The sequence below is a fragment of the Homo sapiens genome, chromosome 12 (assembly GCF_000001405.40).
Source record: "Homo sapiens chromosome 12, GRCh38.p14 Primary Assembly".
In the NCBI taxonomy this organism is placed as follows: domain Eukaryota; kingdom Metazoa; phylum Chordata; class Mammalia; order Primates; family Hominidae; genus Homo; species Homo sapiens.
Window position 1 is genome coordinate 53,913,619 of NC_000012.12, and position 15,432 is coordinate 53,929,050.

General features: G+C 41.4%; 1 annotated feature.

Annotated features, from left to right (window-relative positions):
- Nucleotides 14,385-15,222: an enhancer, noted in NCBI's record as "H3K27ac-H3K4me1 hESC enhancer chr12:54321787-54322624 (GRCh37/hg19 assembly coordinates)". NCBI's record gives its function as "activates a minimal SCP1, AML or CMV promoter by ChIP-STARR-seq in naive H9 embryonic stem cells {active_cell/tissue: H9 hESC(naive)}" and the evidence as "EXISTENCE:reporter gene assay evidence [ECO:0000049][PMID:30033119]".

Consider the following 15,432-nt stretch of genomic DNA (forward strand, 5'->3'; position numbering starts at 1 on the left):
TTAGTGCAAGAACAACTCTAGATATTTCAAGCAGAAAGGAATTTACTACAGGGAATCTGATGCTTACAGAGTTGTTGGAAAGGCTAAAAAGAGCAGGAGTCAAATATGGCTCACACACTCGGTCTTGTAAGACGGCACCCCAGCCTCACAAGGTGTTGTCTTCCAGCTGGCTGTGTAACTCTCTTCATTAGACCATTCTACCATTCCATAGTGTCAGCTGGGATTACAGGCATGAGCCTCCGCACTTGGCCCTTTAGGTATCTTAAAGTCAATTTTATCTCATATTATAGCATCTATTCTGGCCAGGCGCAGTGGCTCAGGGCTGTAATCCCAGCACGTTGGGAGGCTGAGGCGGGCGGATCACCTGAGGTCAGGAGTTCAAGATCAGCCTGGCCCATATAGTGAAACCCTCTCTACTAAAGATACAAAAAAATTAGCTGGGTGTCGTGGCACGTGCCTGTAATCTCAGCTACTCAGGAGGCTGAGGTGGCAGAATCACTTGAACCCGGGAGGTGGAGGTTGCAGTGAGCCGAGATGAGCACCACTGCACTCCAGCCTGGGCAACAGAGCAAGATTCCATCTCAAAAAAAAAAAAAAAAAAAAGATTTATTCCAGTGAGGGCAAAAACACTGCCTTCTGCATGATGGAGGGGGACCACTATAATCAACTCGCCTTGGCTGGTCCCTATGGTTAGAATGCCATATGGCTTGTTATTGGTCTCTGCTGTTGGCGGATTATCTCTTAGGAGACATAGTACCAAGATCTGCCGTGGTGAGAGAAAATATGTTTTGTTGAGCCCAGGCATAATTTCCAACTTGCCATCACGGCTACTGTGCTAGTGAGTCCTTTTAGCAATTCCTGGGTGGCTTGATAAAGAGGCTGACTGACATTTGCAGAACCAGGTCATCTCGTCCACCCAATTACCAAGACCTGTCAGTGCCCTTTGGTGAGTGAACATTCACCAATTTGTAGTTTTGTTGATTCTCCCTCGTGTATTTTTGTTTCCTAATTTTCACTCTTACATTGATTATTTCTTTCCACCTTTTTTGGTGGCAAGGGGAGGTTGCTGTGACATTATTTTTGTAATTTCTTGAGTTGGAATCTTAGCTCTGTTTTTTCTTTCTTCTCTTCTAATGTATTACAGCTATAAATCTGCTTTAAATGCTACTTTAGCTGTATTCCACATTTTTTAAAGATAATTTTTTAAAGCAGTTTTAGATTCACAGCAAAATTGAGAGGAAGGTAGAGAGATTCCCCGTATACCCCCTGCCCCACACACGCATAGGCTCCCCCATTATCAAAATCCCTTGCCAGAGCAGTAGATTTGCTGTAATTGGTAAACCTACATCAACACATCATAATCACCCAAAGTCCATAGCTCGCATTAGGGTTTTGCTCTTGGTGCTATTTCCACACATTTTGATTGTGTATTTTCTGTATTGTTCAGTCTATATTTTATCTAATTTCCATTATTAATTATGTTTTGAAATCTGTTCCTAAATTTCCAAGCTTTGGGAATTTTACCTTTCTGTTATTGATATCTAAATTAATTGTTTGTGTTTGGAGACATGCGGCCTGTATAATACTGATTCTTTTTATTTGTTGAGATTTGTTTTGTGGTACAGTGCATGGTCAATTTTTGAAATGTTCTCTATGTTCTTTAAACAACTATATATTCTCTAACTGCTGCATAAAGGATTCTATGTACATCTATCAGAACATGTCAGAACATGCTGATTGTGTTATTCAAATCTCCCATGTCTCTACTAATTTTTGTCTGCCAATTTATCAATATACTAGAGAGCTATGACTTTTAAAATATTCAGCTATCATGGTGAATTTCGCAATTGCTCCTTTTTTTTTTTTTTGAGATGGAGTTTCGCTCTTGTTGCCGAGGCTGGAGTGCAATGGCGCATGCAATCTCAGCTCACCGCAACCTCCGCCTCCTGGGTTCAAGTGATTCTCCTGCCTCAGCCTCCTGAGTAGCTGAGATTACAGACATGAGCCACCATGCCCAGCTAATTTTGTATTTTTAGTAGAGATGGGGTTTCTCCATGTTGGTCAGGCTGGTCTCGAACTCCCGACCTCAGGTGATCCGCCCACCTTGGCCTCTCAAAGTTCTGGGATTACAGGCGTGAGCCACCGCACCCAGCTTGCAATTGCTTCTTATAGTTTTGTTTCATGTATCTGAAGTGGTTACATCAAGGTAAAGAATTGCTATATCTTCCTGGTGAACTGTTACTTTTATGATTATATAGTAACTACATTTTTAAAATCTTAAAGTCTTATTTTTTATAGTGATACAATATACTAAAATATAATTTGCCACTTTACCATGTTTAAGTGTGCAGTTCAGTGACATTACTACTCACAGGCATATTGTTGTGCAGCCGTCACACTATCCACTTCCAGAATGTTTTCTCATCTCAAACTAAAACTCTATACCCATTAAACACGAACTCCCCATTATACTCTCCTCCCAGCCCCTAGTAATCACTATTCTATGTGTCTTAAAATAATTTTTTTTGGGTAAAGATAGTCTCACTATGTTGCCCAGGCTGTCCTCAAATTCCTGGCCTCAGGTGCTGGGATCCTTCTGCCTTGGCCTCCCAAAATGCTGGGATTACTGGTGTGAGCCACCACACTTGGCCCTCTATATATCTTGAAGTAAATTTCGTCTCATATTAGTATAGCAATACTATCTGATTTGTTATCTTTTTCCATTTTTTTAGTCTTAGCCATTCTGTGTCATTATGACTTATAACAGCACATAACTAAAAGTTTTTATCCCGTCTGACAATTCCTATCTTTTAACTGGTGAGTTTAGTTCATTTACACTTGTTGAGTTTACTGACAAATTTTGTTTTATATATACCATCTTATTTTGTGCTAATATTTTCCATGCATCTCTCTTCCTGCTTTCTACTGAAATGAAAGTTTTTAAAACTCATTTTCTCCTTTATTGACTTGAAAGTTATATATATTCTATTTCTATTTCTTTCATGATTTGCCTTAATTTTAAATTAAAAATAATCATAATGGCTTAATCAATATTTCTACTCCCCTTATAATATAATTCAAGAGCCTTGGAATACTTTAACTCTGGTTATATATCTCTTATATATGTCATTGTTGTTTAGTATTATAAGGTCATCTTATTTTCGTGTTCGCAAATTAACCACTGTTATTATTGTTTGTACAGTCAATGCTTGTTTAGATATACTCACATGTTTTCCAATTTCTTTACTCACCGTAAGTATTTTCCAAGCTCCTATTTTTATCTCATTTCTTTCTTATGGGTGGAAATTTTCATCAGCAAATTTCCTGAAGAAAATTCCTTCAGTGAAAGGTTTATTTGTGATAACAAATCTGTCTCGTTTGTCTGGAAATTTATTTATTTTATTTCTACTCTTGCATAATAGTATAGCTGAGTGAAGAATTCTTGATGGGTTTTTCACTCTGCACTTTGAATATATTATTCATTGTCCCCTGTTCTGTATTGTTGATTTTGGAAAGTCTATTGTGAATGTAATTGTTGTTATATTGAATGTATTTTTCTCTCTGACCTTAGAATTCTTTCATTCATGGCAATATATATGGGTATAAATTTAGTTTAATTGATCCTGCTGAGGACTTGTATTATCTAAATCTGAGGATTCATGTCTTCTATTAATTCTGGTAAATTCTCACCCATAATCTCTTTGAATGTTGCCTCCCCCAGTTTTCCTTGTTTTCTCCCCCAAGAACTTGTAATATGTCTATGTTGTACCTTTTTATTCTCCAGTGTTTTTTTTTTTAGCCTCTAATATTTCCTACCTTTTTATCTGCTTGTGCAATCTACTGGAAAATTTCATCATAACTCTCCTCCAACCATAATTCTCTTGTTACCTATGCCTAGATCTCTTTTTAGTCATCCATTTAGTGGTTTTTTGTTGTCGTTGTTGTTGTTTTTGAGACAGAGTCTCGCTCTGTTACCCAGTTTGTAGTACAGTGGCGTGATCTCAGCTCACTGCAACCACTGCCTCCTCTGTTCAAGCAATTCTTGTGCCTCAGCCTCCCCAGTAGCTGGGGCTATAGGCGTGCACCACCATGCCTGGCTAATTTTTTGTATTTTTAGTAGAGATGGGGGTTTTGCCATGTTGGCCAGGCTGGTCTCGAACTCCTGGTCTCAAGTGATCTGCCTGCCTTGGACTCTATTTAGTTTCTTTTTAAACTTAAAAAAAGTTTGAAGTATAACACACATATATAAAAGCACATAAAACATAAATGTATTATTGAAATAATTACTGTAGCTGAGTTACCGATCAAGAAATAAAATGTTGCCAGACTCCAAGTGCCTTCCACGCACCCCTTACTGATCACAGCTCTCTTCCTTTTCACTAAAGGTAACCATAACCCTGACATTTATGGGAATCATGTCTTTGCTTTAAAAAAAAAAAAGTTCTACCACATTCCTAACAATTAATACGCATTCTTAAACAATATAGTTTATTTTCTTCTTTTCTGAACTTTTTTAGTTTTTTGAGACAGGGTATCGCTCTGTTGCCCAGGCTGGAGTGCAGTGGTGCAGTCATGACTCACTGCAGCCTCGTCCTCCTGGGCTCAAGCAATCCTCCCACCTCAGCCTCCCAAGTAGCTGGGATTACAGGCATACTCCACAACTCCTAGCTAATTTTTGTGTTTTTTGTAGAGACAAGGTTTTGCCATGTTGCCCAGGCTGGTCCTGAACTCCTGAGCTTAAGCAATCTGTCTGCTTCTACCTCCCAAAGTGCTGGGATTATAGGTATGAGCCACTGCATCCAGCCTTCTTTTCTGGACTTTTAAAAATAATAAAAACTGTATGTAAGTTTTTGTGTCTTGATATTTTGACCAATATTATATATTAATTATTCACCTCTGTTGTTGTGTTTGGCAGATGCTCATTCATTTTTGTGTGTTTACAAAATAATTTACTGTCTAATATACTAAATATTTAGCTGTTTTACTGCTATAAACATTTTTTGTTTCCAGTTTGGAGCTGTTATGAACAATGCTGCTATGAACATTATGGTATCTGCTTAGTCCATTTTGTGCTGCTATAACGGAATCCGTGAGACTGGGTAGTTATAAATAACAGAGATTTATTTCTTATAATTCTAGAGGCTGGGAAGTCCAAGGTCAAGGGGCCCACATCTAGGGAGGGCTCTCTTGCTGAGTTATCACATGGCAGAAGGTGGAAGGGCAAGAAAGCAGGGGTACTGAACTCATCCCTTTATCAGAAACTGGCTCCTGAGATAACTAACCCACTCCCACAATAACATCATTAATCCACTCATGAGGGCAGAGCCCTCATGACCTAATCATCTCTTAAATGTCCCACCCCTCAACACTGTTGCATTGTTCAACACATGAACTCTGGATGACACATTCACACCATAGCAATACCTGTATACTAGTGCATACAGGTGTGCATTTTTATAGTTTAAATACTTAGAAATACAATTGTTGGGTCCCAAGGTATGCATGCCTTCAATCTTATCAGATAATGCCAGACTGTTTTTCAAAGTTGTACTAAATTACACTCCTGTCAACAGTATATGAGCAACCCCATTCCTCAACAATCTTATCAATGCTTGGTGTTATTATTTATCTGATCTTTTAATTTGACCCAGTCTGGTGGGTACATAACAGTATCTTTGATAGATACTTTCTATCATAGAAATACTTTCTAATGAGTAATTTCATAAACTGACAATTAAGTGATACACTTCTATCCACTTGATTTTTATTCTTAGCGACTCTCCTAGATATGGTCTATTGGCATTCAACATCCTTCTCATTCTCTTCTATTTACCTTTTCATATAAGAGGATCTAGAAAGCAAAACCAGCAAATACCTACCCACGTTTCCCAGGTTTGGGATACAAATTAGTTTCCACCAGAAAGATGTACTCATGAAGAATTTAGAGTGCAGAAGCAAGGTGGGGGCCACCTTTCTGAGGCATCACTTTTAGTGCTGCATCTATCTTTGCTAATGTGAAAGGCAGGTGTAATAATGACAATAAGTTGACCTGGACTTGCACTCCCCCAGCCCATTCGATGATTTGTAAGCACCTAATTCCCCACTGTTTAAAATACGTAGAGAAATTTCTTTTCAATCTGGACTCTGGCTGATACAATGACAATTGTACTTCACATAATTTAAGATACTCTCAAAGGTAAGAAGCACCATTATTTCACTGACACTAAGAAAGCCATTGTTGCAGTTAAACTATGACAAGTGCTTTCTTGACACTTAGAATTTTCCTCTAACTATTTAAAGAGTTATTTTATTTTATTTTATTTTATTTTATTTGGAGACACATTTTGCTCGGCCACCCCGACTGGAGTGTAGTGGCACAATCATAGCTTACTGTAGGCTTGAACTCCTGGGCTCCAGCAATCCTTCCATGTCAGCCTCCCAAAGTGCTGGGATTACAGGTATGAGCCACTGTGCCCAGCCTAAAGAGTCATTTTAGACTTTAGACATTGGTGTTATAATTTATAATTTATAATTTATAATCTCTCCCTTTACCAGTGGACAGATATTTTTCCTACCCTTTATTTGGGCTGAACTTTGATTCTTATTTCTACATGACCATTAAAACCCTTTGGTTACTGAGATCAGCAACTACCTCTAAACACACTCCAGGAAGCTCCAGGATCAGCTCCCACATTTGCCATCCAGGTTTTTAGTTCTCTTCTTATTTTTGGTTCCTTGGAGGATTTTTCTTTTTTTTTCCTATCAAGCTCAGCTGTGCATTTAAAAGAAAATTTTGTATTTTGGCCACTGTTTCTAGGTGCTTTATAGTAAAATATTCTAGTTTGTTATAACACTAGAAACACAAGTCCATCTCATTACTATGGACTATAACATTTCCATTTAACAAATGAGAAAATTAAGTCTCATAGAAGTTAAATAATTTCTCCAAATTCACACAGATAAAAAGTTGTGGGACCAAGATTCAAACTGAGATTTTTTTGTGTCTAAAACTCATTCTCTTAGCATTGAACCACACCTAGGAAGACTTGCTTTAAATTTTCTGATACTACAGTGATCATTTGCATACTTCCAGCTGATTGAATGATTACATTCCTATCTATTATAACAGACTTGAGTTAATTTGTACTTTACCAAAATGCCACAATGAAACTGATGAATTTCTGACTGTGATATTTTTAAAATAGACTTCTGGGCTTGGAAGCCACTTTAAAGGGGCATCTTGCCATCCGCTTGCTTCAGACAGAGCCAACCTCCAGCCATTATTCACAGTCTCTGATAGATGATCATTTCCCTGGGATCTCAGGTACAATAGAAGACAAAGTATAAATTTTTAAAATCAAACTCTTGGCCTTAGTGAGTCTCACTGGCAGGGTTTTTCCTCCTTAATTCTGAACTAATTCTCTCCTGCACCTCCAGCCACTCTGTCCATGGGAGAGGGACAAAAGAGCTTTCCTTGCCCTCTTTACATAGCATATCTGCCCCTCCCCATTACTGAGTAACCACATACCCCTACGGGATTACTCAAATCCTTTCAGCTTTCTCTTCTTTCCTCCTTTTTGGTCATGAATTTTGTCCTTGGCTGTAACTCCTGGTGACTGATCTCCCATTAATGATGCTGACATACAGGACCCAGATAAAGTGCTATATAAATGCTAAGTAATCACAGCCAGGCTTGACTTTGTGATACAGGTTATCTCAGGCTGCTGTGATATGAGATCAGCCCCCTGTTGACATTCAAGGTGAAGTTTACCAGCTGCAAACCTTTTTTTTTTTTTTTTGCCGTGGAATATTGTGACAAGTGCTAATTCTCTACCACGGGCCTTGAAAAGAAAGCATGCAGGCCTGTCGGAGGGTGGGAGGCAAGGGGAGGGAGAGCATTAGGACAAATACTTAAGATATGTGAGGCTTGAAACCGAGATGATGGGATGATAGGTGCAGCAAACCGCAAACCACCATGGCACAGGTATACCTGTGTAACAAACCTGCATGTTCTGCACATGTATCCCAAGACTTAAAGTAAAATAAAATAAAATAACAAAAAAAGAAAAGAAAGCATGCTATTATTGATGGTCTGTCTGTTATTCAATATACATATACATGGAGAATATTAAGGTATATTGGTATATACTATAGACTTTCAGAATGTGGCCACTCCAGGAGACCTAAGCAAATTCTCTTGCTGGGTATTGGTGGTGGGGGTGAGAGAGATCCAGAGAGAAAAGGGCCCAAGCATCTCTTATAGTGGAAGTGGGTGCACCCATAACTGACAAAGAGTGGATCTGCTTAAAATGTAAAAAAAAAAAAAAAAATGTTTTGACTACCCAATGTCAAATGGCCAACGTACTTAATTTTTTTTCACTGACTTAACTAAATCATCTTATTGTTGTGACATTGTGTCATAATCAAAGCACTGATTTCCAAGATTTGTGTGAAACAGGTGACTACAGACCTGTTCATTCTCAGGTTTTGAAAGATAAACTTTTCTGTCATTAACTCCTTAGTCCTTACAATGTCAAAAATCATATTTGGAGTTTTGTCATTAGAAAACAGAACTGAAACATTGTTTGGACATTTTGTAGACAATTGTGGTCATCCTCTAATTTTCTGGGCACTTGGATAATATGTGTGAAAGAGAGAGACAGAGAGAGATCTTACATATGTGTGTGTGTGTGTGTGTGTGTGTGTGTGTGTGTGTGTGTGTGTATGTATATATATCCTAAGACTATAGCTAGAAGAAACTTTAGATTTTATAGACAACTTTCACACTTAATAGAGGAAGAATCAGAGTCAGACAGATGACTTACTGAAGAATATTTTACCATTAGGAGACAGATGTGGACTAATAATCCTTTTGACTCCAGTGGGATTCAGTGCACTTTCCTAGACAGTACACATACTAGTAGGGGCTAGAGACTGGGACAAATAGTCCCAGTTAATAGTTCTTTCAGAAAACGAGGCATTATGTTGCTTGAAGGAGTTGGTAAGCTGGCATTCTTTCTTATAGACAAAAGAATAGATAAGATGATTTAAATGCCATTTCAAATCTACTTTTCTCTTAGTCTTTCCTACAGCATACCTATGAAATGGATGGCAGTTATTCAATAGAATTTGTGTCTTTTCCATATTTAAAATATGTCTTTGTACATGTGCACGTCTAATATTCAAATGAATGTTATTCAACATCTGCGTGTGTGTATGTGTATATGGAGTAGAAGGCTTTGTATTATGTTTTCCTCCATGGGTGTATATTACTCAGACCCTCTCATGAGTCTGCCTACTAATTTAATGTATTAGTTTATTGTTACATCATTTCTATACTTTTCTAAAGCGCTTCAGATGCAGCCCAATCAGAACATAAAAACACATGTGCAAGCAGCCTTACACACACACACACTTGCACACAAGGAGACATATATAGACATGTGCTGCCACACATTCCCTAGATCTTCCTTGCATACCCCTGCTATAGCTGGGCAGACATTATTGTCACTTCAAGCTGGAACAAGTGAAGCAGCCTGCTTTTTCTGTTTATGCTGTACAGCTGATGACAGATAACTGCATCATGCTCATCTGCTTAGACTTTACCTCTTTTCTAAAGGGCGGCCAGAACAAAAGCTTCTTCCTATCAGCATTTTTGTAAGAAACACCTTTTCCCAGAAATCCCTATTTGGTTCATACTGTCCTGCCAGATTTACAGTTCCTCGGTTTCCCAGCCTCTTCTCCCTGACTCCCTAATGTAGAATTTCTGCTCAGCCAGACGAGTGCCTTCTCTCCAGCAGCACATACCTTGTCCTCTCCAGGCTCTAAACTGCACAAGCCATTGCCCAAGTTGGGACACAAGTCTTTTCCTACTTCTCCCTTGGGGCCCTTTTCTGCTCTCCTCCCCAAGTGTCTCTCCCCTCTGAAGGAATGACTGTCTTGTCTGATTCATCTCGCTTCTGCTGCAGCTCCCGCTCCTCCTCCTCCCTGCATTGTGGTCCCTCATTTCTCTTGTCACTCAATCTTCTCACCTTTCTTTCTGCCTGGGTCCTGAGTATATGCTCCATCTCCCTGCACAGATAGGGTGTGGCTCCCCACATTCAGCAACTGGCTTTGTCTCTTGTTTCCTGGTGCTCCCCTCCCACAGCCCAGGCAATGCCTTGTTCCTGACAGAGTGTTGACTGACAGACTGGCTGGAGTTGAAGCTCAGCCTTAATACTTCTTCCATCTCTTTTCTTGATTAATTTGATGTGTTTGGCATCACCTCTGCTGCTGGAGGGGTATTTTCTAGGAGGCAGAAGAGTGTCGGAGGCCTTGCTCCTTTTCCTTCCCTTCCCAGATAGACTAGTATTTCAACCTGACAGCTCCCAGCTGGTCCTCTGGCTATGGAGCATTGAGTGTTTATTTTCCTGATGTTTTTATTCCAAAGTCTTTGCCAGGGTCATGTTGTTGAAATCCACCAAGTGACAGCAGCCCCTGACCCTGCTACTGAATCCGAACACATTTTACAGGTACAGCTGTTGTCAGAAAATTACAGAAGCCAAAGGCAAAAAAAAGAGGCCTTGAGAGGTCATCTTGGATATGCCCCTGTTTCCAGTCTAGTTTCTGCTCAGGTAAATTAGAAAAGACTAGTTTCAAAGTGCTACACAAGGGAAATGGATGTCTCACTCTTAAATCCCACTCCATTATCTAGCTATTCCCACCATCAGAGTGTTTCATTATAGGGACCCACAACCTCACCTTTGAATGCCAGGCCCTTTCCACTTCTGTTGTTGCCAGAAAGTTGATGATGATGAATATAACCCACTATATACTTGAAAAAGAAAATTAGATTAGAAATAATCCAGAGAAAGCGGTCATCCATGACCAAGTGGTCATCCATGATGGATAATTCAATCTTCAACACAATCTACATTCTTTCCAAAGACCAGAGTAATTTCCAGACTGACTTAACTGTTAACCATGAACATCCAAAATCCTCCCTGGCTCACAGTGGTAAGTAGGTTTCCAAGTCTGGATTAGTCTTACCCTTAGATTTAAATGTTTTTTATTTGCCCACATCCCACTCTATGGCTCTTCCCCCAGCCCAGGCTGAGAGAGTGCTGGTGCCACTCAATGGTGTCCACACATAATAAGGGTCTGTGTAATGCCAAGCAACCGGCTGTAAGCAAGAGAAAAATGTTATCTGGCTAATCCATCCACTTGTTAACATATATTTGGATATTTGGAAATAATCCAATGAAGGACTGAAGTTTTCCTTTGTCAGCATGTAGGCAGTCCTAAAATATCATAGTCAAGCAATGTCCATAGACAAAGTTAACTGCATCATTAACACTTCTTTTTTTCACTTGGCATGCTATATCTGACAGGCTTTCTCCCCACCTGGTGACCCAACGCTGGTCTGAGTGGCTTGGCATTCATTATAAAGAGAGATGCCAATGTCTCAAAAGTGCCAGAGAGGCTGGCAGACTGCCTAACTATAAGGCAGCTGCTGTGATTTCCATAAGAGAATAAGCAGAATGCAAAACAAAACTGCAAGAAGGAGGCTGCCCAGTTCTTGTTGTTGGCAGGGGCCAAAAAAGCAGGAACTCATTTCCTCATCTCCTGTGACTGGGTCTGGCCTACATATCCAGGGACTAGGAGGGAGAAATTTGGGTGAACCAATGCAAAAGAATGTATTCTCATCACCTCTGGAAAAAAATGCTTTTGTGCCAGCTGTTTTTCCAAGGGACCAACTGGAGCTATTACCATACAATCTAGTGAAATGAATGGTGGTTCTTTCCTTAGATCTGGAAATATATCAAACTGAACAATTCAGGAAATCTACGGTTTTGGTAGTGAGTTGCCAAAACTCTGCTTTATTTGGTGCTATGCAGTTTCAACTATAGTAGCCCTGATCTAGTTGGCTTATCTCTACAATTCAAACCATTAGAAAACTGTTTGAGCCAATCCTTCACTCTCTTCATCCCTTGAAACCCTAGTGAGCCTGAAACAACAGATAAGGGTCGGGCGGGGGGTGCGGGGGAAGAAGAGAAACACAAGGTTAAAAAATTACCCCTCGTTCCTTCTACACACATCTAGGCTAAAGCAAACTTGAGTGAGGGAAGGAAGAAAATATCACATTAAACCGAGCTCAGAGTCTTGAAGCTACATTGCACTGGACATTCTCCCTAAGATTTGAAATTGTGTATATGACTTGAAGTTGTTACAGGATTGTCTATTACCTAAGAGCAGGCAGAAGAGTCTGGGGCCCCCTGGAGTTTTAATCCAAGAGCCAAGAAGTGTTAGCTAACATCCATTGACATTGATAAAGGGTGACAGAACACAAAAATGAAATTGTATTTCGCCTTTTAAAGAGTAAAGGATGGACTGGGATATGATTGTAAATAAACCCCAAAACATATAGTCACTTAAATACAATAGAAACTTATTCCTTCCTCAGGTAAAGTCCTAGGCAGATGATTCTTGCCAGTGGGTGGCTGCCCTCTCCATGTGGTTCAGGGATCCAGGCTCTTCCTATCGCGTGTCTGAACTATTCCCTAGGGTGCCATGGTGGACATCCTCACAGAGGAAGAAGACAGAGAGCACGGAGGAGAATGGGAACACACCCACTTGTTAAAAGCTTTGGCCAGGAAACGGCACATGCATTCCATTAATTAGAACTAAGTCACACATCCATATGAAACTGCAAAAAATGCTGGGGGTGTAGTCCAGCTGCAGGCCCAGGATTTGGAGGGAGCAGTTGCTATATCTTTATAATGGTTGAAATTTTACTGGCTTCTGTGTCCAGTGGCAAATTTGGATATAGAAGATCCTCATGGGGTACCAGACGTTCAACCATCATAGGCAGCAATCTTATGAGAGTATTTCTTTCTCCAAAAGGAAGGTCATCACTCCCCAAAGGGACTTTTCTCTGAATGGTGCAGGTTGATGGATGGCGGGGAGAAAAAAAGGGACTGGGAGAGAAAAGGATTTCTGTGAAAGAGCAGAGCAAAGGTAGCCATGCTCAGCTGCCTCTTGAAGATAAGGAAGGCTCCTGTAGCTTGACTACTGAGACCTACTCGCAGGAGATTTGTTCCTTCCCCCAATGGAACTTCTCATCCCTTGTGTAATGAATATGCACCTGAAACTCCTAGGTCTCAGAGAGCCTGAAAGTGAACACGACCCTAAAATATCCGAGCTACTGAAAACAATCTGGTAAAATGTGCCACTGGACACAGAAGCCAGTAAAATCCATGAAGGCAGAAGAATTGCCTGGCCCTTCAACCCCAAATAAAATAAACATATTTCACATCTTATTAATTCCAAAACTGGATTCAATTTTTTAAAGTGCCGCATTCTGGTGAGATCAGAAGACACATCTGGCAAGAATGAGGTCATTACAAGAAGAGTTTGACTATTTCTAATAATCATTAAAAAACACCCGCCGCCCTTGGATTCTCACTCGGGGTGGGGAGCGAAGAGCTTTGCAGGACCCATCAAGGAAAGCAAAGATTCTGGCAACACAATTCCCCCTGTTAACTATATTCCCGGCCTCTAGGTCGCTATTTAAACTAAAAGGGCGTCTCCATTCTCCCCCAGAGGTACCGTTCTACAGCCACACTCACTACTTTATCCATGTCTGTGTGCAGTGAGCATTTTTCTGTTCTTCTAGTTTCACTGGAGTTTTATTTTATGCACCCTTCCCCTGCCCCATTTCTTGAGACCAGCTGGACCGCATGCTGGAAAAACAAAACAGGAGAGAGGGGAAGGTCCCTCAGATTCCAAAGCAGAACACAACCAAGGCTTCCTAAGTAAATGAAAAGGACTTGGAGAAGACATAACACTTCAGTGTAGACACTTAAGTTGAAATTTCTGCCCTGTCGTTCCAATGCCATGATGGAGAAGGACCCCTAAAATCGCCTTTGGCGTGTGCAGCTCGAGCGTTACAACGATGCAAAGTGCGGTCTTTGGAGGATGCGGGAGTCGGTAACCCCTCAATTCACTCTCGCCGTTCCTTCTCTCCAGTCTGCGCGAAAGCCAGGTCCGAGGGCTTCGAAGATCTGGGGGACCCGAGCTGCGCACAGTGGCGGGAAACGAGCGGGCTCAGCTGGCCGGGCCGCGTCCCCTAGCCACCGCCCGCCCGCCCGCTGCTTTGGCCTCCGGAGAAGCCTGGAGAGGGGCCTGCGCCTCTTGAAAAATGGCTTTTGGGGGCGGTAGGTCTCGGGAGGGCGACTGGGGAAAGTGACTTGCCGCGGCTTCGAGTAGAGACGTTGGTGCGGGACCCAACTCCTGGGGAAGGCGGGGAGCGCTGGGCGGATGCCTGGCCCTAGTGCGGCGCCAACACATACAAGTTCCGCTGTGAATGTTTGAAAGTGTAAGTTTCTCTCGGATTGATTTTTTTTTCCTTTAAATGTATCCCCTTCAAAAAAAAAAAAAAACAAACAAACAAAAAAAAAAAAAACAAAGACGTGGACAGGCAGGCGCCACCCGGTCTGGGAGCTGAGGTTCGTGACTGCTGCCGATTTCGTTTGGTTCAAGTTGAGAAAATAAGGGTCTCCCCGTCCCAGGCTGGGAGCGTGGGGACTTCCGTCTCTGGACTGTGCAAACCGTCTGGGGCTGCCTCCCAGACTGGCATGCTCTCCCCGCCCCCTGAAACCTAGGGAAGGTTTCCTGGAGGCACTGGACTCCAGATCCCTGCAGGGCGGGACGGAGAAAAAGCCCTGAATACCACTGCCCACACCCCTCCAAGTCGGGAGCCCCCACGCGCCAGTCGAGCCTACGCAGCTGTGGGGTGGGAAGGAGAAGACAAGTCCTCCGCCAAGAACTCCCCCACGCAGCTCCTGCCATTCCCTCCGCCTGATTTCTGCTGGAGGAGGTCGTCAGTTTGCAGGGGCAGAATACGAAGCCTCCGGGGAATTAGACAAGACAATATTCCTGAGCTCTTTGAACGGCCCAGGTAGAGAAGAAAATTAAACAATGTAACTCATCTCTCTGCAAGTAAAGATCTAGAGCGAGATTAAGACCCTCATCCCCGGCTTTTCCTCTGAAGCTCCCCCAGAATAAGCCCGCAGGTTAGAGCTGGCTAGGTCAGGGAGTGCAAGAAGAGGTGCCTTTCGACATGGAGAAAGAGTACTCTCCCCCACAGATTTTGATACTTGATGCTGAAGCTACCAAGTAAAGGTTGAAGAAATGTTGGAGAGGGAGGTGCGGCGGGTGGGGATGTTCCTTACTGTCCTAGGTATTTGTAACCAAGGTAGATTTTGAAGTTATTACAAACATGTTCCCTGTTCAAATAGCATGGACCCCATTCTCCAGGCTCCACTGTGTGAGGCGGGTTTACAGCCTCAAGGTTCTCCCTGAGGTTGGGGATAGGGAATAACGCTAATCCTGCATTATAAAAAATAAAATAAAATAAAATAAAAATCCTGAAAGCTTAATTATCGAATAATT